The following is a 22,302-nucleotide window of genomic DNA, read 5'->3' on the forward strand; positions in this document are numbered from 1 at the left end:
GCCTCAGGCAACTCCAGGGGAAATCAGGTGACCCGGAACCTTCAGTCCCTGGTGATTACTTCTAAAAGACTGATCTCATTCTGGGGTGACCCCATGTCATGGCCTTGAGTCACTTTACTCACAGAAATTCGGTCTTCCTGAGGCACTGCTGACTGCTTTCAGGGAACTTGATGGTCACAAGATTTTCCCACAAAGATTGTTACCATGGGGTGCTTTCCATCTGTTATTAACCTCAGGTTTCTCCAGCAAAGTCAGCATATCCTGGGAACACAGACTCCTCCCGTCCACTTTTGTTGCCTGCTTTCAGTAACCAAAAGCTGTTTCTCAAACGGCATGTTATAGAACTCAGACTAGGACTGTGCAGCTTATTTTTCACATGGCGGGGACGGGGGAAGTGGTTCTAGCTAACAGCTCTGGTAATGCTTGAAGTCCCACTCTTGGGGAATGAAGGGGAGAAAGATAGATGATGAGTTATTTTCTGTCTCCTGAATCCATCCTTCTCTTCCTTCCTCTTCTCCCTCCTTTCCTTCTCAAACATATATTTACTGCTGAGTACACAACAGGCACTGTGCTAGGCACCATGTGATTTGAGTCTGACATTATCACCTGCCCTCAAGGAGGTTAAAATCTAGTGGGGAGGAAGCAATGATATCAAGCATGATGGAAGCGTAAGGATGCTTTGAGACACGGAGGCAGACAGCTGCATCTGATGGGAAGGTGTCAGAGACAGCTTGGAGGTGGAGCACCTTGAGCTGAGTCTGGAGGAACATAATGGAGTCAAGAAGAATGGGAGGAACCGGGAGAGGTATTCCTGCTGGAGAGGACAGCGTGGGCACTGGCTGGGAGCATGAAACAGCGTGAATCACTGGGAGGCTGACTGTAGTTCATCATGTCTAGGTTTGGTGCTCAGGACTGAACTCAGGCCCTATCTTCTCCCTGAAGCCTGCAGCAGGTGCCCCACCCCATCAAGTTCCAGCCCCCACCGCCCCCCAGCTCCACCTACTGACAGTCGCTTGTTTCCCTTCTGTTCTTTCTCTTAGGAATTTTTTTGGTGTGAAGTCTTCCTTTCCCAGTCTTAGAGAGGGTCCCAAGAGGCCAATGCTTCTCCCACCCAGTGCTCAGAGCTCTTATTCCACCATGGGGATGTCTTGCCCGATTCTGAGTGGGTACAGTGTTCACCGAGGAGGCAGGCTGAGGCAGTTGGTAGCAGCACTGAATCCCACCCCAGCCCATTGGGTTTTCAGTCTGAGGGGCTTCTCCAGTGTGTGCCTGAGCCTGGCTGACACCTGGGCCAGTACGCAGGTGAACATTCTTCTGGGAGGGGAACTGAAAGCCTGTTGTAGCCAGTTTCTCAGTGATCCTGATCTCCTGGTTTTCAGGCCCTTGAATGGTCTCCTGCCACATTGCATCAGGGTCGGTCTGCATGGCCCACAAGTACAGCAGAAGTGATGGCATATGCCTTCGAGGCTAGCTTAAGAAAGACACGGTGATTAGCCTGCATTAGTTTCTGCCTTGGGCTGCTCACTATGGAAGCCAGCTGCTGTGTTGTAAGGATGTTCACGCAGCCCTCTCAGAGGTCCCAGAGGTGAGGAACTGACGCCTCCTGCCAACAGCCATGTGAGGACCCATCTTGGACGTGAATCCTCCCGCCTCATATCAAGCCCTCACGTGACAGCAGCTCTGCTTAATATCTTGACCGCAACCTCATGAGAGACCCTGAACCAGAACAACTCACCTTAGTCGCGTCCAAATTCCTGACTCTAAGTTACCATTAGAGATGACACACGTTTTGCTGTTGAGGCTGCTGTTTCAGGGCAATTTGTTACATAGCAATAGATAACTCATGCAAAGCACTTGGCAACTCTAAGTGGTTTTTCCCACTGCGTGTTTGGGGAGGCTTCTGGACTGGGGTTTTGCCTCCTCTGCCAGACAGGAAATATTAGGGTTCCCAAAAGATCACAGCAGCTCACTCAACAGCTCCTTCCCTCGCTCCTTCTCTCTTCCCAGCAAATTGAAGGTACTTCCCTTTAAGCAACCAAAATCCAACAACAGATGCTTCAACAATAGATGCAAAAAGAAATCTGAATTGGGGGAGGGTGAGAAAAGAAAAATAAGAAAAAAGGGAAGAAAAAGATCCATCCCTGTGAGGTCTGAGAATAAAAGAAGGAAAAGGAAAAGAAAAAAAAAAAAAAAGAAATCACCAGTGAACCCCTACCTGGCTAAAACAGAGTTTTCTCCTCATCTCCACCCCCAGAGGTCTCCAGTCAGGGAGGTGACTGGCCTTGGGCACTGGTACATTCCCAAACACTATGTAAACAAGCCCCATCAGACCCTTCCAGCCTCCGAAGCTGTCATTGCCTCCCTTTTGCTAAGTTGGTATTTAAACCTTTACCTCTGGCTGTACAGCAAGGTACTTATTACCGAGTGCTCCCACATATGAATAGACCTCGTCTTTTTTCCCGTTCGTATGTCTATTGTGAGTCATTTCACAAACCCCCTCCTCAAACCTAAGTTGGTAGAGGAAAAGACTTTTCTCCCAGCACCCTCAAGTCAAAGAAATTCCCAGGGGCTGTCAAGTGAGAAGTTCTGGAGCCCACTGCACTGAGTATTCTCTCTGGTCAAAATGAACTTTCCTAAGAACAACCACCTCCAATAGGGGAGATGCTGCAGGGACCCCAGATACACCCACCACACCCAGATACAAATGGCCAGAGGCCCTTGGAAACACAGCTCCTGGACCTTAGGTCATAGCTGAGGCACCCTCTGACATACACAACGCTGCATCATCGCCTGGTCTGCAGCAGCTTCTTTTTGGGTTTTGGCTTCTTTAACAAACACTTAGTGCTTGCTATGAGTCAGGCTCTCTTCTAAGTATGTTAGAAATATGAAGTCATTTAATCCTCACAACAACCTGCCTAGGAAGGTATTTTTACAGATAAGGATCCTGGGGCACAGAGAGGTGAAACAATTTGCCCAAGGCCACACAGTGCATGAGTGGCAGGGCCAGCCTGGCTCCATGCTCTGCCCTGAGATGAGAATGGACCCAGGGTCCATTTAGTGAGCATTCTGTGCCACCAGGGCACTGTTTCTTGGCCAGCACTCCTGGGGCTGGACAGGGTTGTGTATGTTGGTTTGGGCTGGGGGGAATCCAGGGGTCCATGTCCAAGCAGGGCATCAGCTCTTGAGGAAGCAAGGCCATGGCCTTACTAGAGAGAACTTCGTCTTCCAGGGCCAATCTCCACAGTCAGCTGAGGGTCTGCCTGAGCCCTGCCCAGGGTAGGAGGGGCTCTTGTGCGCAGGCTCATACCTGCTTCCTCACCCCTGCCAGGTTTGCCCCTATGTTTCCCACCTTCCTGGACCAGTGCCCCTCAACTAAGGGCAGTTTTGTCCCCCAGAAGACATCTGACAATGTCTAAAGGCATTTTTGATAGTCATGACTAGAAGGCTGCTACTGGCATCTAGTGAACAGAGGCCGGAGATGCTGCGAAACAGCCTACAATGCACAGAACAAAGCCTCACCACAAAGAATGGTCTGTCAGTAGTGCGGCGGTGAGAAGCCATGATCTAGGCCCACCTCACGGCATCCTTAAGGCTGAGAACCCCTCCCGTGTGATCTGTGTCTTGTTACAGCAGGGGTCCAGCGTCCTTGGAGGGCCACACCCATCCTCACTTTGGCGTCTCCCAGAGGCTACAACAGAAAGTGAAGGACTCAGTTTGTACTGCAGCCTCAAGTTCTTGGAAATAAAATAAGGATGTTGAGGTCCTGGTAAATGTGGTGGCCATTATTTTGCATCAGGCTCTGTGCTGAGCACTTTATATATTTTATCTTATGTCATTCTCATAAGCCAGTCTGTGATGCTATTATTATCCTTCTTTTATAGATTGGGAAACTGAGGCTTTAAAAAAGTAGCTTGCTCAAGGTCACACAGCTAATAAACCTGGTGACAGTCTGCTTTCTAGCCTAACCAGGCCCTGGTATACATACTTAGGAAAGTAAACATGGTAAATGCCCAGGGAGAGCCCACTCTTGGCCTGGCTTATGTCCTCCCCTGGGATCAGCACCCCTCACTCCACAGCACAGTTGCAGCTGAAGCTCTCAGGGCCAGCTAATTCTCTTCCCCTCTCTGGTTCTTACAGAAGGAAGGGGAAGAGTACAGAGAAGCAAGAGTAGGGTTAATTTTTGTGCAGGGACAGTTAAGACAGAGAGGAAGGGGCAGGGAAGAGATGGACAAGGGAGGGAGGCCTGGGAGCTTTTTATTATTTATTATAGCAGGGGAAAGAATGGGAGGTTTGTTTCTAAGCCATAAATACTCTCCTTTGATCCCTGTGTCTATCAGAGATAAATTAGTCACTCTTAGGCCTCAGAAATTAATGACTGTCCTAATGATCACCCTAAGTGACCTTGCAGCATTCCTAATTCTCACCACTCCCTGCAAAGTAGCTGTGTCAGGGTTTGGCAAGGTTTGGGGATGAGGCAGGACTGAGCGGGATGAAGGTGTAATTTCATTCCTCAGCCCCAGCCTCACTTTGCAGAGATGAAATTGGCCTCTACTCCTAAGGCCAGAGAACAGTCAGAACCAGATCCCAACTTCTGGGCTCTGCCCTCCCTGGCTTTGCTTCAAGCACAGGGATGGGGAGCACTGCGTAAGGAAGCTTCAGGGCCCTGTGGAATTCTGACCTGGGAGAGGGTGGATCCCCTAGGGGTGTGCAGGCCTGCGAGGGGCACCTGAAAGCAAGAGGGCATTTGGATCAGGTTAACATCTGACCTCTCAGCAGGCCCTGCCCATTCAGACTGGGGAAGAGCTTTGAAGTTTCCTTTGTGTGATGTTTTCATGGCCCTGATCCTACTGTACTGGAATTAGCCCGAGGCCCTGCCCCTTCCCTGGAGATTTGTTCCCCAACTGCAAAAGTCTTAGAAAAATACCGCAAGCTCCACCCACCATCCCCACACCACTGAATGCTTTTTCCTTAGGCTAAAATACCAGGGAGGAAAAGGCCTCAGAACCCCCACCAGGAGACATTCTGTGCGTGTTTACAGTTTCTCAAGTGGAAAGCAAGGACCCCTGGAACCAGATCTGAGGGCAGGTGCTTCCCAGATAAGCATGTTATGGGGTGGGGAGGATGGAGTAAGGGAGGGAGAAGCAAGATTGTCCCTGGAGGCTTCCCAAGCCACGGGCCAGGTCCAGAACAGCAAGGCTGTGGGTTCTGGCCAGAGAGAAGAGGAAGCTGGTGAAGCCAGGCCTTCCGGCCGTGCTCAGTGAGCAAACCATTGTGCCTAGTGTGGCCAAATATCCATCTCGGGGATCTCTCTCTGAGCACCAATGGCTTCTCCTATACTATTGCTCAAGTCCACCATAAAAGCAGTGTTTAAAAACGAAGGGAGAGGAAGACAAAAGAGAGGAAAGCGGAGAGAGAAACGGGAGGAGACGGAGAGAAGCAAGGAATCCCAAACTAGACTGCTAGATTCTGCTAGATTCGGCTTTTCAGAGTAAAGACTCTGAGCAATAGTGCCATCTTGTGGCTATGAGTAGGAATTACAATTAGTTTTCTCTCTCTCTCTCTCTCTCTCTCTCTCTCTCTCTCTCTCTCTCTCTCTCTCTCAATCTCTCTCCCCCCCTCCCTCCCTCCCTCTCTCTCTCTCTCTCTCTCTCTTTCTCTCCCCCTCCCTCCCTCCCTCTCTCTCTCTCTCTCTCTCTCTCTCTGTCGTCTACTCATGGTGTTTGCAACTGCAGGGGCACAAGCCATGGATTTTGTTTCCACCCGAGACAATTGCCTCTCCCCCGACACCTACACCCCAAACTACTCCAGACTCTGCACCCTCTTCTACACACCTCTGGGGTGAGTCCACATTTGCCCAGTAGAAATACCTGCTATCTGATGTTTGACTCAACTCTAAGACTCATTCAACAAATATTTATTGTGCTTTTATTATGTGCCAGGCACTGTCCTAAGATCTGCGGACCTGACTATAAATAAAAATGTCTCCTTTCATGCACTTTACATTTTAACTAGGGAGGCAAATATTAAACACATACATGTAAAATATAATGGGATGTAGTAACAAGTGCAATAAAGGAAAATAAGGCAGGGGATTCAGGGCTATTTCAGATAGGGTAATTGATGAGCTACAACTTTTTTTTTTTTTTTCAGAGATAAGGTCTTGGTGTGTTGCCCAGGCTGGTCTTGAACCCCTAGCCTTAAGCAGTCCTCCTGCCTCAGCCTTCCAAAGTGCTGGGATTACAGGTGTGAGCCACTGTGCCTGGTGCAGTCGCAACTTTTATCAGCACAGATATCTGCTAATATCTGTGCAAAGGCATAGATGAGGTGAGGGAGTAGGGCAGGTGAGTATCTGAGGGAAAAAGGACCTACAAACACAAAGACCAAAGCCGTCTGTCTGGATCTTCCCTGAGATGTGACTCCAGAGTAGCAGCCAAAGAATATGACACTCAGGAAGTCATCTAGGGTTCGAGGTGCTAAAGCCAACTTTTTTCTTTTTCCTTTTTTGAGACAAGGTCTTTCTCTGTTACCCAGGCTGGAATGCAGTGGCGCAAACACGGCTCACTGCAGCCTTGATCTCATGGACTCAATTGATCCTCCCACCTCAGCCTCCCTAGTAGCTGGGACTACAGGTGGGTGACCCCATGCCCGACTAATTTTTGTATTTTTTGTAGAGATGATTTTGCCATGTTGCCCAGCCTGGTCTTGAACTCCTGGACTCAAGTGATTCACCCGCCTTGGCCTCCCAAAGTGCTGGGATTGCAGGTGTGAGCCACCATACCCAGCCTAGAGCCAACATTTCTCTTTTTTTCTATGCTTAGCATCCAAAGCTATCTTTATCAAAATCCACCTGCTAAAGCCCCCGCTAGGACAGCATGTGGGGAGGCTCTAGGCCATTCTGGATTCAGGACCTTCTGGCTCCATTCTGAATACAAAAGCTGACTTTTGACGTGAGAAATCTGACACACTCTTCACTCTCTGAGCCCAGGATTTTCTTTGCCAAAGAGCTGGGCTTCTTTCTGTAGCCAGTGGTGATCCCACAAGCTTGCCTTTGCTTATATCAAAGACTCCAGATCTCCAGTTGAATGTCTCCACCAAGACATCAGAGTTGAAATTAAAAAGAGCATTTCTTTCAGAGAATAAGCCCAAGCTTTGGAGATCTGGTTTGTACCCAGTCCCTGTTCCAGGCCAGCCTGCTCTGTCCCTTGCTCATTTAATTTTCTAGGTTAACAAACAGAGCAAAGTTTCCAGGTGTGCTTGCAGAATATCACCTGGAACATTATTTGGAGGAGAGAGGCAGGGTGCTGAGCTTTTTCTGAAGCTTTTTCTGAAGGCTTATATTCTGTAGGTCAGGGAGCCAGTTACTTACAAGTAAAACTGTCCCCAACAAGATTGCTCTATCAGGGCCCATTTGGGGTTGGCTTTTCTAGCATATGAGTCTAGCATATGAATCAGGCCAGGTGTGGTGGCTCACACCGGTAATCCTAGTGCTTAGGGAGGCTAAAGGGAGCCGGTTGCTTGAGACCAGGGGTTTGAGATCAGCCTGGTCAACATAGTGAGACTCCATTGCTACAAAAAATTAAAAAATTACCCAGGCATGGTGGCACGTGCCTGTAGTCCTAGCTAATTGGGAGGCTGAGGCAGGAGGATTGCTTGAGCCCAGTAGTTCGAGGTTGCAGTGAGCCGTGATTGTGCCACTGTACTCCAGCCTGGGTGACAGAATGAGACCCTGTCTCTAAAAAAAATATAAAAATTAAAAAAAAAGTATGAATCAAGTATAGCCTGAGTGGACTCTGGGTGGACAAGGGGACTGGTTTCATCTGGTTACTTGACTCAGAAAGTCAAAAATAGGCTGGGCATGGTGGCTCACGCCTGTAATCCCAGCACTTTGGGAAGTCAGGGTGGATGGATCACTTGAGGTCAGGAGTTCAAGGCCAGCCTGGCCAACATGGTGAAACCCCATCTCTACTAGAAATACAAAAATTAGCTGGGTGTGGTGGCACGCCCCTGTAATCCCAGCTACTCAGGAGGCTGATGTGGGAGAATTGCTTGAACCTGGGAGGCAGAGGTTGCAGTGAGCCTAGATCGTGCCATTGCACTACAGCTTGGGTGACAGATTGAGACCCTGTCTCAAAAAAAAAAAAAAAAAAAAAGTCAAAGATACCTGAGGTCTTTTCTTCAGTGTCTGCATTCTCAATGTTCATTTCATACCCGAGAAGCAAAGCCAGGCAAGGCAGCCTGGTAAATGGGCCCGGATCTTTTCCCAGAGAGCACTTTGTAACCTTGATAACAAGACTCAAATGACCTCCACCAAAATCAAAAACAAAACTAACAAAAGCCCATTTGAATGTTAGAAAACATCTTCACAATGAATCTAGTCTTTCTGTTTTTGTGGTTTCGGCAGCTGCTTTATTTGGGTGTGTTCTTGACAGTCATGGTTTCAGAGGGTTCTTCTATCCAAGAGGAAGTCAGTCCTCTGAAGACCAAGTTTGCGTACTGGACAATTTGAGCTGACAGCAGCTGCCAACTCATGCTCGGCTCTTCACGGTGGACTGTCTCTTGTGCAGGTCAGCTTGTCCTGGCAGATGCTATCCATGGCAGTGCTTCCCTGCCTGGGCCTGGGGAGAGGCCCTCCTGGGAGATTCCTCTTCTGGCTGAGCCTGTACCTGGGCCTGTGTGCAGGTAAGGAAGGCAGGTCATTGCTGCCTTGAAACTAATCCAGTGGATGTACCTGGATCAGAAGACAAAATGAACTCACCAAATGTCAAATCATTGTTAACCAGGGCAAAGACTTACTTGTCCTCTCCCTGCCATGAGAAACAGCTCTGCCAACCACTGTCACATCTCCAGTGAGGGCTCTCATGGTATTTGCAGTGTGTGTGGTTGTTGTTTTTTGGAAGATGGGATCTAGAGAGTAAGAGGGTGTAGGGGTATAGGACTGGCAGCATTGGCAAGGGCTTAGAGCAAGGACATTTGGTAGCTGCCCGTGGGAGTGTAAACATTTCAGGAGGCCAATCTGGCAATGTGTGTCACGCCCAGAACAGTCCTGGCTTATTGTTATTTATTAATTACTATGGATTTTTAATATTATCTTTTTTCACTCTCAAAGAATCCTGCTTTGTAGAATAAATGATATAATCACCCAACCTTTGGTGTGCCTTTAGGGAATGTATCCTAAGAATATGTACAAAGATGTAGATTTAGGGATGTTTACCACAGGGGTACCAGGCTTAAAGAAAAGCTAGAGATAAGTTATGTGGTTAATAACAGAGAATTAACTAAATTAGTTAAATAAATTATAGTACATTCCACACAGTAGAATGCTAGATAGCCATTAAAATGAAATGTGGAAAAATATATAGTTCCATGGGAATATATGCATATTATTAAGGAAAATTACTAAACATTTTTTATATATAACACTATTATATATAGTGTTTAGTAATATATATAGTGTTTAGTAATTTAATATTAAATACTATATATATTTAGTAATTCACTATATATAGTAATTTAACATTAATGATTATATATTATCATGCAAACCTAGTTTACAAAGAAAAAAACATATGCACTGAACAAAAGACTTGAAGAATATACACTAAGCCATCATCAGTGGTTATCTCCAGGAAGTGGAATTAGAAGTGTCATGTACTTTCTTTTATGCCTTTTCTGTATTCCTACATTTTCTACAAGGAATGTGTATGTTGTAGGCAGAATAATAACATCAAAGATGTCCACCTCGTAATCCTCAGAACCTGTGAATATGCTAGCTTACATGGCAAAAGGGAACTACGTCTACAGATAGAATGAAGGTTGCTGATCAGCTGCCTTTGAGAAGGGGAGTGTATCCTGGATCATCCAGGGGAGTCCAGTGCAATGTCAAAGGTCCTTAAAACAGGGAAGAGGGGCCTGGCATGGTGGCTCACGCCTATAATCCCAGTACTTTGGGAGGCCGAGGCGGGCAGATCACGAGGTCAGGAGATTGAGACAATCCTGGCTAACACGATGAGACCCCGTCTCTACTAAAAATACAAAAAAAAAAAAAAATTAGCTGGATGTGTTGGTGGGCGATTGTGGTCCCAGCTACTCAGGAGGATAAGGCAGGAGAATGGCGTGAATCCGGGAGGTGGAGCTTGCAGTGAGCTGAGATCGCGCCACTGCACTCCAGCCTGGGTGACAGAGCAAGACTTTGTCTCAAAATAAATACATAAATAAATAAAATGGGGAAGAGGGAGGCAGAAGAGTGAATGTCAGAGTGATGTGATATGATGTGAGGAAGGCTTGACCAGCCATGGCTGGCTTTGAAGAAGGGGCCATGAGCCAAGGCATGTGGAAGCCTCTAGGAGGTGCAAAAGGTGAATGGATTCCAAAAGGAATACAGTCCTGTTGCACCTTGATTTTAGCCCAGAGAGACCCATTTTGGACTTCTGACCTCCAGAACTATGAGATAATAAATCTGTGCTGTTTTAAGCCACTAAGTGTATGATAATTTGTTATAGCAGCAATAGGAAACTAACACAAGAAATTTCCTTTTTAGTCAGAAAAAAAAGATAATAAGAAAAGTCATTTTTAAAGAGAGGATTGGGCTGGGCTCGGTGGCTCATGTCTGTAATCCCAGCACTTCGGGAGGCCAAGGCAGATGGATCACTTGAGGTCAGAAGTTTGAGGCCAGTCTGGGCAACACAGCAAGGCCCTGTCTCTACAAAAAAATGAAAAAATTAGCCAGCCATGGTGGAGTGCACCTGTAGTCTCAGCTACTTGGGAAGCTGAGGCAGGAGGATTGCCTGAGCCCAGGAGTTTGAGGCTACAGTGAGCTGTAATGGCACCACTGCACTCCAACCTGTGTGATAGAGCAGCATCTTGTCTCAAAATAATAATAATAATAATAATAATAAAATAGAGGATTAGAAATCATTCTTTGTAATCTAACCCAACAGCCATCCAGGGAGGAGGCCTATAATCTGCATGAGGAGCTTCTAGAACTAGCTGGCTGTTGTTTTGTTATTAGCAGAAAACAATAATATTGTCAATAAGTAAATAATCAAGAACCCCAAGCAGATTTAACCCAAAGAAGACTACCTTAAGGCATTTAATAATCAAACTCCCAAAAGTCAAGGATAAAAAAAAGACTCTAAAAGCAGCAAGAGAAAAGAAACAAATAACATGCAATGGAGCCCAAATATATCTGGCAGCAGGCTTTTCAGTAGAAAACTTTACAGGCCAAGAAAGAGTGGCATGACATATTAAAAATACTGAAGGAAACAAAACTACCCTGGAATAGTATATCCGGTGAAATATCCTTCAAACATGAAGAAGAAATAAAGACTTTCCCAGACAAACAAAAGCTGAAGGATTTAATCAACTCCAGACCTATCCTACCAGAAATGCTAAAGGGAGATTTCAATTGGAAAGAAAAGGACATTAATGAGCAATAAGAAATTATCTGAAGGTACAAAGCTCACTGCCAATAGTAAATACACAGAAAAACACAGAATATGATAACACTGTAACTGTAGTTTGTAAACTACTTTTATCCTAAGTAGAAAGAATAAACGATGAACCAGTCAAAAATAATAACTACAACAACCTTTCAAGACATAGTCAGTAAAATAAGATAAAAATAGGCCAGGTGCAGTGGCACACACATGTAACCCCAGCACTTTGGGAAGCTGAGGCGGGTGGATCACTTGAGGTCAGGAGTTCAAGACCAGCCTGGCCAACATGGTGAAATCCTGTCTCTAGTAAAAATACAAAAATTAGCTGGGTGTGGTGGTGCATTCCTGTAATCCCAGCTACTCAGGAGGCAAGGCAGGAGAATTGCTTTAAGATCATGCCACTGTACTCCAGCCTAGGTGATAGAGCGAGACTCTGTCTCAAAAAAAAAAAAAAAAAAAAAGATATATAAATAGAAACAACAAAAATTTAAAAAGCTGGGGGATGAAGTTAAGCCATAGAGATTTTATTAGTTTTCTTTTTGCTTGTTTGTTTATGCAGAGTGTTAAGTTGTTATCAGGTTAAAATAATGTGTTATGGCCAGGCGCGGTGGCTCACGCCTGTAATCCCAGCACTTTGGGAGGCCAAGGCAGGCAGATCACGAGGTCAGGAGATGGAGACCATCTTGGCTAACACAGTGAAACTCCGTCTCTACTAAATATACAAAAAATTAGCTGGGCGTGGTGGCAGGAGCCCATAGTCCCAGCTACTCAGGAGGCTGAACCAGGAGAATGGCATGAACCCAGGAGGCGGAGCTTGCAGTGAGCCGAGATCATGCCACTGCACTCCATCCTGGGGGACAGAGCGAGACTCCGTCTCAAAAAAAAATGTGCTATAAGATAGCATTTGCAAGCCTCATGGTAACCTCATACAATTAATACACAAAAAATAAAAAGCAAGAAACTAAATCATATCACCAGAGGAAACCATTTTCACTAAAGGGAAACAGGAAGGAGACAAAAAAGACCAGAAAATAAATAACAAAGTGGCAGGAATAAGTCCTTACTTATCAATAATAACATTGAATGTAAATGGACTAAATTCTCCAATCAAAAGACATAGAATGACTGGCTGAATGGATGAAAAAATAAGACCTATTGATCTGTTGCCTACAAGAAACACACTTCACCTATAAAGACACATATACACTGAAAATAAAGGGATGGAAAAAGATATTCCATGCCAACAGAAACCAAAAAAGAGCAGGAGTAGCTATGCTTATATCAGACAAAATATATTTTGAAACAAAAACCTATAAGAAGAGACAAAGATCGCTATATAATGATAAAGGGGTCAATTCAGCAAAAGGATATAACAATGTTAAATATATATGTACCCAACACTGGAATACCCAGATATATAAAGCAAATATTAATTAGAGATAAGGAGAGAGATAGGCCCCAGTGCAATAACAGCTGGAGACTTCAACACCGCACCTTCGGCATTGGACAGATCTTCCAGACAGAAAATCAACAAAGAAACATCAGATTAATCTGCACTATAGGCCAAATGGATCTAATTGGTATTTACAGAACATTTCATCCAATGGCTGCAGAATACACATTCCTTTCCTCAGCACATGGCTCGTTCTCAAGGATAGACCATGTTAGGTCACAAAACAGGTCTTAAAACATCCAAAAAAATCAAAATAATATCCAGCATCTTCTCTGACCACAATGGAATAAAACTAGAAATTAATAACAAGAGGAATTTTGGGAACTATACAAATACATAGAAATTAATATGTTCCTGAATGACCAATGAGTCAATGAAGAAATTGAGAGGGAATTTGAAAAATTTCTTGACATGAATGACAATGGAAACACAACATGCCAAAACCCATGGAATACAGCAAAAGCAGTACTCAGAGGGACATTTATAGCTTTAAGTGCCTACAACAAAAAAGAGGAAAAACTTCAAATAAACAATCAATGATGCGTCTTAAAGAACTAGAAAAGCAAGAGCAAACCAAAACCAAAATTAGTAGAAGAAAAAAAAAATAAAGATCAGAGAAAAAATAAATGACATTGAAATGAAAAAAATTATATAAAAGATCAACAAGACAAAAAGTTAGTGTTTTGAAAAGTTAAACAAAATTGACAAACCTTTAGCTAGACTAAGAAAAAAAGAGAGAAGATCCAAATAAATAAAATCAGAAATGAAAAAGGAGATATTACAACTGATACTGAAGAAATGCAAAGAATCATTAGTAGCTACTATAAGCAATTATATGCCAATAAATTGGAAAATCTAGAAGAAATGGACAAATTCCTAGACACATACAACCTACCAAGATTGAACCATGATGAAATCCAAAACTTGGACAGACCAATAACAAGTAATGAGATTAAAGCTGTAATAAAAAGCCTTCCACTAAAGAAAACCCTGGGACCCTATGACTTCACTGCTAAATTCTACCAAACATTTAAAGAAGAACTAATACCAATCCTAGTCAAACTATTCCAAAAAGTAGAGGAAGAGGGAATACTTCCAAACTCATTCTACGAGGCCAGTACTACCCTGATACCAAAACCAAAGACACATCCGAAAAAGAAAACTACAGGCCAATATCTCTGATTGAAGCAAAAATCAACAACAAAATACTAGCAAACTGAATTCAGTAATACATTAGAAAGACCATTCAGCATGACCAAGTGGGATTTATCTCTGGGATGCAAGGATAGTTTAACATACATAAATCAAACAATGTGATACATCGTATCAACAGAATGAAGGATAAAAACCATATAATCATTTCAATTGATGCTGAAAAAGCATTTGATAAAATTCAACATCTTTTCATGATAAAATCCCTAAAAAAACTGGGTATAGAGGGAACATACCTCAACATAATAAAAGCCATATACAACAGACCCACAACCAGTATCATACTGAATGGGGAAAAACTAAAAACCTCTCCTCTAAGATCTGGACAAGGATGCCCAGTGTCACCACTGTTATTCACCATAGTACTGGAAGTCCTAGCTAGAGCAATCAGACAAGAGAAAGATATAAAGGGCATCCAAATTGGAAAGGAAGAAGTCAAATTATCTTTGTTTGCAGATGACGTGATCTTATATTTGGAAAAACCTAATGACTCCGCCAGAAAACTGTTAGAAGTGATAAACAAATTCAGCAAATTTGCAGGATACCAAGTCAGCATACAAAAATCAGTAGCATTTCTATATGCCAACAGTGAACAATGTGAAAAAGAAATTTAGCAAGTAATCCCATTTATAATAGCCACACAAAAATACCTAGGAATTAGCTTAACCAAAGAAGTGAAATATTTGTATAATGAACACTGTAAAACACTGATGAAAGATTGAAGATGAAAGATGAAAGATTGAAGAGGACATCAAAAATTGAAAAATATTTTGTGTTTATGAATTGGAAGAATTAATATCGATAACATGTCCATACTACTCAAAGCAATCTACAGATTCAGTGCAATCCTTACCAAAATACCAATGACATTTTTCACAGAAATAGAAAAAACTACCGCAAAATTTATATGAAACTACAAAAGGCCCAATTGCCAAAGCTATCCTCAGCAAAAAGAACAAAACTGGAGGAATCCACATTACCTGACTTCGAATTATATTACAGAGCTACAGCAACCAAAACAGCATGGTACTGGCATAAAAACAGACACATAGACCAATGGAACAGAATAGAGAACCCAGAAACAAATCCACACAGCTCCAGTGAACTTATTTTCAACAAAGGTGCCAAGAATATACAGTGGGGAAAAGACGGTCTTCAATAAATGCTGCTGGGAAAACTGGATATTCATATGCAAAAGAATGAAGCTAGGCTGCTACCTCTCATCATATACAAAATTCAAATAAAAATGGATTAAAGATGTAAGTCTAAGACCTCAAACTATGAAACTACTTCAAGAGAACATTGGGGAAAATCTCCAGGACATTGGTCTGGACAAAAATTTCATGAGCAGTACCCCACAAGCACAGGCAACCTAAGCAAAAATGAACAAATGGAATCATATCAAGTTAAAAGGCTGCTGCACAGCAAAGGATACAGTCAACAAAGTGAAGAGACAACTCACAGAATGGGAGAAAATATTTGCAAACTACCCATCTGACAAGGGATTAATCACCAGAATATATAAGGAGCTGAAACAACTATATAGGGAAAAAATAAAATAATCCAATCAAAAAATGAGCAAAAGATTTGAATTGACATTTCTCAAAAGAAGACCTATGGCACACAGGCATATGAGATGGTACTTAACATTATCAATCATCAGAGAAATGCAAATCAAAAGTACAATGAGATATCATCTCACCCCAGTTAAAATGGCTTTTATACAAAAGACAAACAATAACAAATGCTGGCCAGGATGTAGAGAAAAGGGAACCCTTGTACACTGTTGGTGGGAATGTAAATTAGGACAACCACTATGGAGAATAGTTTGGAGGTTCCTCAAAAAACTAAAAATTGAGCTACCCTATGATTCAGCAATTCTACTGGTAGGTATACACCCTAAAGAAAGGAAATCATAGGATATCCGCACTCCTATGTTTGTTGCAGCACTGTTTACAATAGCCAAAATTTGGAAGCAACCTAACTGTCCATTAACAGATGACTGGATAAAGAAAATATGGTACCTATACACAATAGAGTAGTATTCAGCCATAAAAAGAATGAGGTTTAGTCATTTGCAACAACATGGATGGAACTGGAGATCATTATATGAAGTGAAATAAGCCAGGCACAGAAAGACAAACATCACATGTTCTCACTAATTTGTGGGATCTAAAAATCAAAACAATTGAACACATGGACATAGAGAGTAGAAAGATGGTTATCAGAGGCTGGGAAGAGTAGTGGGGGGTTGGGGGAATGGCTAATGGGTACAAAATTAGAAAGAATAAGACCCACTATTTGATGGCAGAACATTATGACTATAGTCAATAATAACTTAATTACACCTTTAAAAATAACTTAAAAGAGTGTATTGGATTGTTTGTAACTGAAAGGATAAATGCTCAAGGGAATGGATTAAAAAATATACAAGTAAATAACCAGAATGGCCCACAGCTGAGAACTGTCCTAAAGCCAGGCACAGTTAATGGGGTGAAAGCAACCTGCGCTATGTGACCAGAAGAGGGAGAACAAGGAGAGTGGCTGCTTTTGAGAGTTCTGGGACTAGGCAAGGACAAGAACCCTTTTCAAGTGAGTGGAAATTACCAGGTCGTCCTACTGGTTTGTGCTGGCGAATCTTGTTCTGGCATCAACAAGTAGAAGGGTGACAAGCACACCCGTGGGGAACTTTCCAACCCCACACAGGGGCATGGAGCTGAGCATGTTTGGAGTCTTTACCTTTCCGGATTGCTCGTTAAAACAACATGTTCAGGGTGGAAAGTTGCAGGAGATTCTCTCAAAATTCTTTTTTATTTGTTTTGAAGGAACTCTTAGGGAAACCTTAGACCCTTAGCATTGGCTGCAGTGAACAAGTTATCTGCAAATGGAAACAGCAGTTTCTTTGCTAGTGGGTCTAAAACTACCTCCTGTTTGGTTTAATCTGTTGTAAGACTCCCCTTCCACAGGATCCAGGGCTCTCTGGAAGCAGGTGCTGAGATGGAGTTTGGTGTGGATGGTATTAATTAGGGGTAAACACCTATGAAGGTCAGGCAGCCGCAGTAGGACTGGGCAGAGAGAGGGGTCACACTGTGATTCAAGCTGGATAAAGCCCATCCCATAGGCATGTATGGCCCATTGGTGTTGTTTATGGGTGGGCAGAAGTGTCCAGGCATTTAGATGCCCTTCCCATGATCAGTCACTGGATGTGGGCATGGTCTTGGTGAGGCAGCTCTCAGCCAACCCTGAGGGAGCTGGAGGTTGTCCACTGGCTGTGGCAAGTCCTTCTTTGAGGGGCAGCTGAGTTGGCATATCTCTGTGTCTACCACACTATCCCCCTAGTGGACCTTGTCCCACTTGCTGGCTTGGACCCACAGACCTGCTAATGTGGTGTGTGCAAGAGGGACTTGGCTCATTTTGCACTGCCCCTGAAAGCAGACATGTGACCATCAGGGAAATGCGCCAAGGAGGCCAACCTCAGCTCAGAACAAAAGGCTTAATCATAAATGTCTCTTTACAATGGGACAGAGCGATAGCAACCAAAACAGCATGGTACTGGCATAAAAACAGACACTTAGACCAATGGAACAGAATAGAGAACCCAGGAACAAATCCACACAGCTACAGTGAACTTATTTTCACTTATATTTTCACTTATTTCACCTTATAAAAAGAGGTGCAGACGTCCTGCACCACTGGAATACTCACACAGAGCTTGGGGACCTGTGTGACAAGATGGAGAAGGGATTTCTACATTGAGCCTGAGAGTGGACTGGTGCCTTCTGGGGCTCCTTATGTCTCTGGGAGTGTGTGGCTAATGGGGCCATCTCAGGCTGTACTTCCAGGTGGCTACTCTTGGCCTCTGGGGCTCTGTCTGCTGTTGTCACCTCTAGAGGTGATGTCCATTTCAGGTGAGTCCATTGGCTACTTCCAGCATCTTGCCACAGGCCAGGTCCCACTTAGCCCAGACAAGGTCCAAATCTGGTTCAGATAATTCTACAGGCTGTCCCTGTCAGATACCCCACCTCAGAGAATTCTACAGGCATCCCTGTCAGATGCCCCACCCATCACACCACTTGCCTGGCTGCCAGTCTTGGTTCCCCTTCCCATTTGGCCACTTTTGGATTTACCAGCTCCAGCATGGGCCCACACACCCCACGGGACACTGCCCCCACTGGCTGGCCCTCAGCCCTCTGCCTGAAGCCTTGGGCGTGCCACACTGTACTTCCTCTCCCGGGCAGGTCCTGGTGACTTCACCAGCTGGTGATGGCACCTCCTGCCCATCCCTGTCCTGGAGGCAAGAACAGACAGTAACGAGTCCTGAACGTTCATAATCCCCTTGGTACATGAGGTTGCCTTTTATTTGCTCAAGCTGTACTTACACAAATTCCAGAGGTTGCCGCCTTTTCCTTGTATTTCAGAAATTGATAAACAGTCATGTTTATTTTATTCATGCTGCTCATTATTTCATATATATGTTTAAAAATCTTAGTGTATCCTACACATAAAATGATATGCGTTATGTACGTGTTACCATGTCTGAGCACCTACCGTCTGGTGTAAGACATGGAAATTTATCAGTACTTTTGAAATTCCCTGCAGTCTTTTCTCTCCCAGAAGTAGAAGGGGGGCCTGTCCTGAATTTCAGGCGCATCATTCCTTTGCCTTCCTTTACAGCCTACCTCCTATAGCATATGCGATTTGCTTTTGCTAATTTAAAAAATTTATATAAATAGATTCTACTATATTATTCTTTGTGATGCGTTTTTCCCTCCTACTCAGTCGTATGTGTTTGAGATCCAGCCATGCTATAGGGGAATGTGGTTTGTGATTTTATACTTCAGTCAGGCACCTCCTTAGTCTTCCTCTTTCCCATGATCCTGTGGGTTGGAGGGTCCTGGGCTTTCGGCTCATCTTTGTACAACAGTCCCGCAGGAGATCGCCTTTCTTTCTTTGCCTCTTTCTTATTATTCCCCTCTTGTCTCCTTTGCATCTTCCACTATAACCTCCTTCAAGTGCTAGACTATCCCTCCCTCACCACACACATGCACATATGCACAGGGTTTCTGGAGACAAATATAAAACCATGGAGTTCATATGGACGTTGAGGATTGCAAATCTTTTACTTTGCTGAAATCTGGACCCTGGGGCAGAAATGAGTTTTCTCTTCCTGCTTTAGCAGAGTGAAGCACGTTGACTTACTGCAACTGGACTGGGCAGGCAATGTTTTGCAAACTTTAGTGAGCACCAGAATTCCTGGGTCTGGGGCTGAGGGCTTGTTAATTAGGCAGATCATGGGACCCCCTTCCCCAGAGGCTCAGAAACAGAAGACGTGGGGTGGGGCCCAGGAATATGCATTTTAACGGATATACTCTTCTCCATCCAGCGATTCTGATGCAGAACGTCCTCCGGCCACTCTTTTAACAGACACCGGCCTCTGCCTGGGCCAGAACAAGAGGCACCTGACCTGAAATGTGGTCAATCTCCAAGCATGTCTCTTGGCCAGACATTAAATGAAAGCCTGTCCCCTGAGCTTTCAACACTAAGTCTGAGTAAAAATAAATCTTCACTGAGGCTTGAAGTCCTGGCAATGACTGTACCCCCGGAGAGAAAGGTCAGGCAGCCTTCAGACCTGGTGCTCTAAAACTTGGCCACTCTGTCCACGGTTGAGTGGAGTGGAGCTTGCTACCTTTCCACACACACAGCTGGGAGAAGGAGCGGATGCTTGCTGCAGGTGTATGAAATGGCTAAGCCCCCAGGCCGACGCCAGCGGTCCACGGGGCTGGCTCATGACTTGGGGAGCCATAGCAGCAGCAGCAACTGCTGGAGGCACAGAGCCTGGCCCGCAGGCACTTGGGAGCCCTCAGATGTGAGTAGGCCCGCTCTGGCGGCAGGCCTTCCTCAGGCATTTTGCAGGCTGGCCAACTTGGTTTGGCTGGGGAGAAGAATTAGCACTAGACATCTTTGGCAGGATCTATTGACATGGGCACCTGTCTGCACTGCCCCCGTGGGACAAAGATCTTAGTGGTCACACTGGGGTCACCAGTCACTGGGGCCACTGGGGCATGTTGGCAGCGATACCCAGGGAAGCAGCTAAACCATTCTTTTTCAGCCTAATGGAATGAAAAACAAACATTTTGAGCCAAGGGCAGTGGAGAGGCACTGGGTGGTACAGGGGAGCCTGGGACATCTGTTCATCCGTGGTCGATGGGGCTGGGGGAGACATGGGGACATCATTCAGTGAGTGAGCCTGGCTCTACATGGTGCTGGCACCTCAGTGATGAACAAGAGACGGGGTCCCTGGCCTCACTGAGCTTTGTCTAGGTCAGTGATCATCACAGATGTTTACAAACTGAAGTATCTGCTAGGTCAGTGGGGACACACAGAGGAGAGATGAACTTGATTTTAGTAGTCAAGGAATGCTCCACAGAGGAAGAGATGGTTACGCCGGGCCCTAAAGGCGTGGTGGGAATCAGAAAGTTAGGAGAGGGCACTCCAGGCGGAGAAAACGTCAAGGACAAAGGCCTGGATGGGATTCAGCGGGTCGCAAACTTTGCTTCTGAGAATTCTCCTAGAATGCACGTTAAGGTGCCTGGGCTCAGGTGCGGCATGGAGTGGGCTCTTTGGAGAACTGTGGGGAGTTCAGTGCAGCTGGGACCTGGTGGAGGGGGCCTGAGACACAGACCTGGGAAAAGGGCAGTGGGCCGTGAGCCAGGCTTTTCATGCCAGGCTAGGGAGTGAGAAAGAAAAGAAACTTTTCAATCTGAGGAACGTCAGCCCTTTTAAAATACCAGGCCCAGAGAGACATTTAAAATGTGGCTGTAGTTATGTCTCACTCTCCGCATGAGATCAATAATTCCCTCTTGAAGCCACTTGCCATGTGGGCTCTAGACTAACTGACACTCAGTAGCTATAAAATGCCACACTCTGGACACCATAACTCATACCCTATAGTTTAACAATGGTCAACAATGTATAGCCAATCACTAATCAGTGTTATTTCTGAAAACCAATGAGAACTGTCAAAGAACTTCATATCATCCCACTCCTTGTTCCCTTTTGCCTTTGAAAATTTGCTTGTAACAAAGGTGGAACGGAACACTCCCCAGGGCAACTTGGAAGTATGTCCTGGGCAGCTGCCCTCACTTTGGCTCAAATAAACTCTTTAAGGCCAGGCATAGTGGCTCATCCTTGTAATCCCAACACTTTGGGTAGGCCAAGGCAGGAGGACTGCTTGAGGTCAGGAGTTCAAGACCAGCTCTGGGCAACATTGCAAGAACCTGTCTCTGCAACAACAACAAAAAATACATAAAAATTTAAAAATCAAGTAAACTCTTTAAAATGGTGTTTCATGCCTTCTTCCTCTAGGTCAATAGGACCTTGGCAGTGGCAGCCAGGGGAGGGTTTAGTAGGGTGTGCCCTTTTCTTGCATCTTGGGAAGATCACATAGGAGCCCTGTGGAGGGGGCAAGGCCAGAATCAGGGTGCTTCTTAGGAGCCTGTCAGTCTCTAAAGATATGTGGTCCTGAGAGCCTGAAGAGAGAAGAATTTTTTAAAAGTTCTTCAGAGATAGAAAGAGAAGATATTGACATTATCTATACAGCCAGAGAGTGATGAGGCCCCAGGCTGTACTCTGATTTGAAAACTGAATAATGATGTGATACACATCAAAAGAAGGTGAGCCACCTCCTTTAACTTACAACAACCCTGAAATGAAAGATAAAAAAGGGGTAGGGGATCCTTTCAGAGTTACCCACAAGAATCTATTCAGAGCCTGGCCAAAATCTGGTCCATAGATGACTGAGAAGCAATTTTCCCCTAAGTAAAGTGTTTCCAAACTTCCACAGTGATAAGATAAAACTGGGGCTGTTAGGCCAGGTGTGGTGGCTCACGTCTGTAATCCCAGCACTTTGGGAGGCCGAGGTGGGCGGATCACGAGGTCAGGAGATCGAGACCATCCTGATTAACATGGTGAAACCCCATCTCTACTAAACATACAAAAAAAATTAGCTGGGCATGGTGGTAGGTGCCTGTAGTCCCAGTTACTGGGGAGACGGAGGCAGGAGAATGGCGTGAACCTGGGAGGTGGAGCTTGTAGTGAGCCGAGATGGCACCACTACACTCCAGTCTGGGCGACAGAGCAAGACTCCTTCTCAAAAAAACAAAACAAAACAAAACAACAACAACAACAAAAAATCTGGGGCTG

General features: G+C 44.7%; 1 long non-coding RNA gene across 1 annotated transcript in view, besides 6 other annotated features; it reads left to right on the forward strand.

Moving 5' to 3' along the window:
* Positions 1,358-1,407: an enhancer, noted in NCBI's record as "active region_15861". NCBI's record gives its function as "activates an Ori minimal core promoter by ATAC-STARR-seq in GM12878 lymphoblastoid cells {active_cell/tissue: GM12878}" and the evidence as "EXISTENCE:reporter gene assay evidence [ECO:0000049][PMID:35858748]".
* Positions 2,883-2,972: an enhancer, noted in NCBI's record as "active region_15862". NCBI's record gives its function as "activates an Ori minimal core promoter by ATAC-STARR-seq in GM12878 lymphoblastoid cells {active_cell/tissue: GM12878}" and the evidence as "EXISTENCE:reporter gene assay evidence [ECO:0000049][PMID:35858748]".
* Positions 3,213-3,292: an enhancer, noted in NCBI's record as "active region_15863". NCBI's record gives its function as "activates an Ori minimal core promoter by ATAC-STARR-seq in GM12878 lymphoblastoid cells {active_cell/tissue: GM12878}" and the evidence as "EXISTENCE:reporter gene assay evidence [ECO:0000049][PMID:35858748]".
* Positions 4,224-4,983: an enhancer, noted in NCBI's record as "NANOG-H3K27ac hESC enhancer chr2:62638109-62638868 (GRCh37/hg19 assembly coordinates)". NCBI's record gives its function as "activates a minimal SCP1, AML or CMV promoter by ChIP-STARR-seq in naive H9 embryonic stem cells {active_cell/tissue: H9 hESC(naive)}" and the evidence as "EXISTENCE:reporter gene assay evidence [ECO:0000049][PMID:30033119]".
* Positions 5,255-5,444: an enhancer, noted in NCBI's record as "active region_15864". NCBI's record gives its function as "activates an Ori minimal core promoter by ATAC-STARR-seq in GM12878 lymphoblastoid cells {active_cell/tissue: GM12878}" and the evidence as "EXISTENCE:reporter gene assay evidence [ECO:0000049][PMID:35858748]".
* Positions 8,443-22,302, forward strand: part of LOC105374764 (uncharacterized) — a 48,875-nt gene continuing 35,015 nt past the window's right edge. The window contains exon 1 of the long non-coding RNA XR_002959390.2: positions 8,443-8,679. This is a non-coding gene — a long non-coding RNA (uncharacterized LOC105374764). The remainder of the gene's footprint in view (positions 8,680-22,302) is intronic.
* Positions 8,605-8,674: an enhancer, noted in NCBI's record as "active region_15865". NCBI's record gives its function as "activates an Ori minimal core promoter by ATAC-STARR-seq in GM12878 lymphoblastoid cells {active_cell/tissue: GM12878}" and the evidence as "EXISTENCE:reporter gene assay evidence [ECO:0000049][PMID:35858748]".

This window comes from Homo sapiens, chromosome 2 (genome assembly GCF_000001405.40).
Source record: "Homo sapiens chromosome 2, GRCh38.p14 Primary Assembly".
In the NCBI taxonomy this organism is placed as follows: Eukaryota; Metazoa; Chordata; class Mammalia; order Primates; family Hominidae; genus Homo; species Homo sapiens.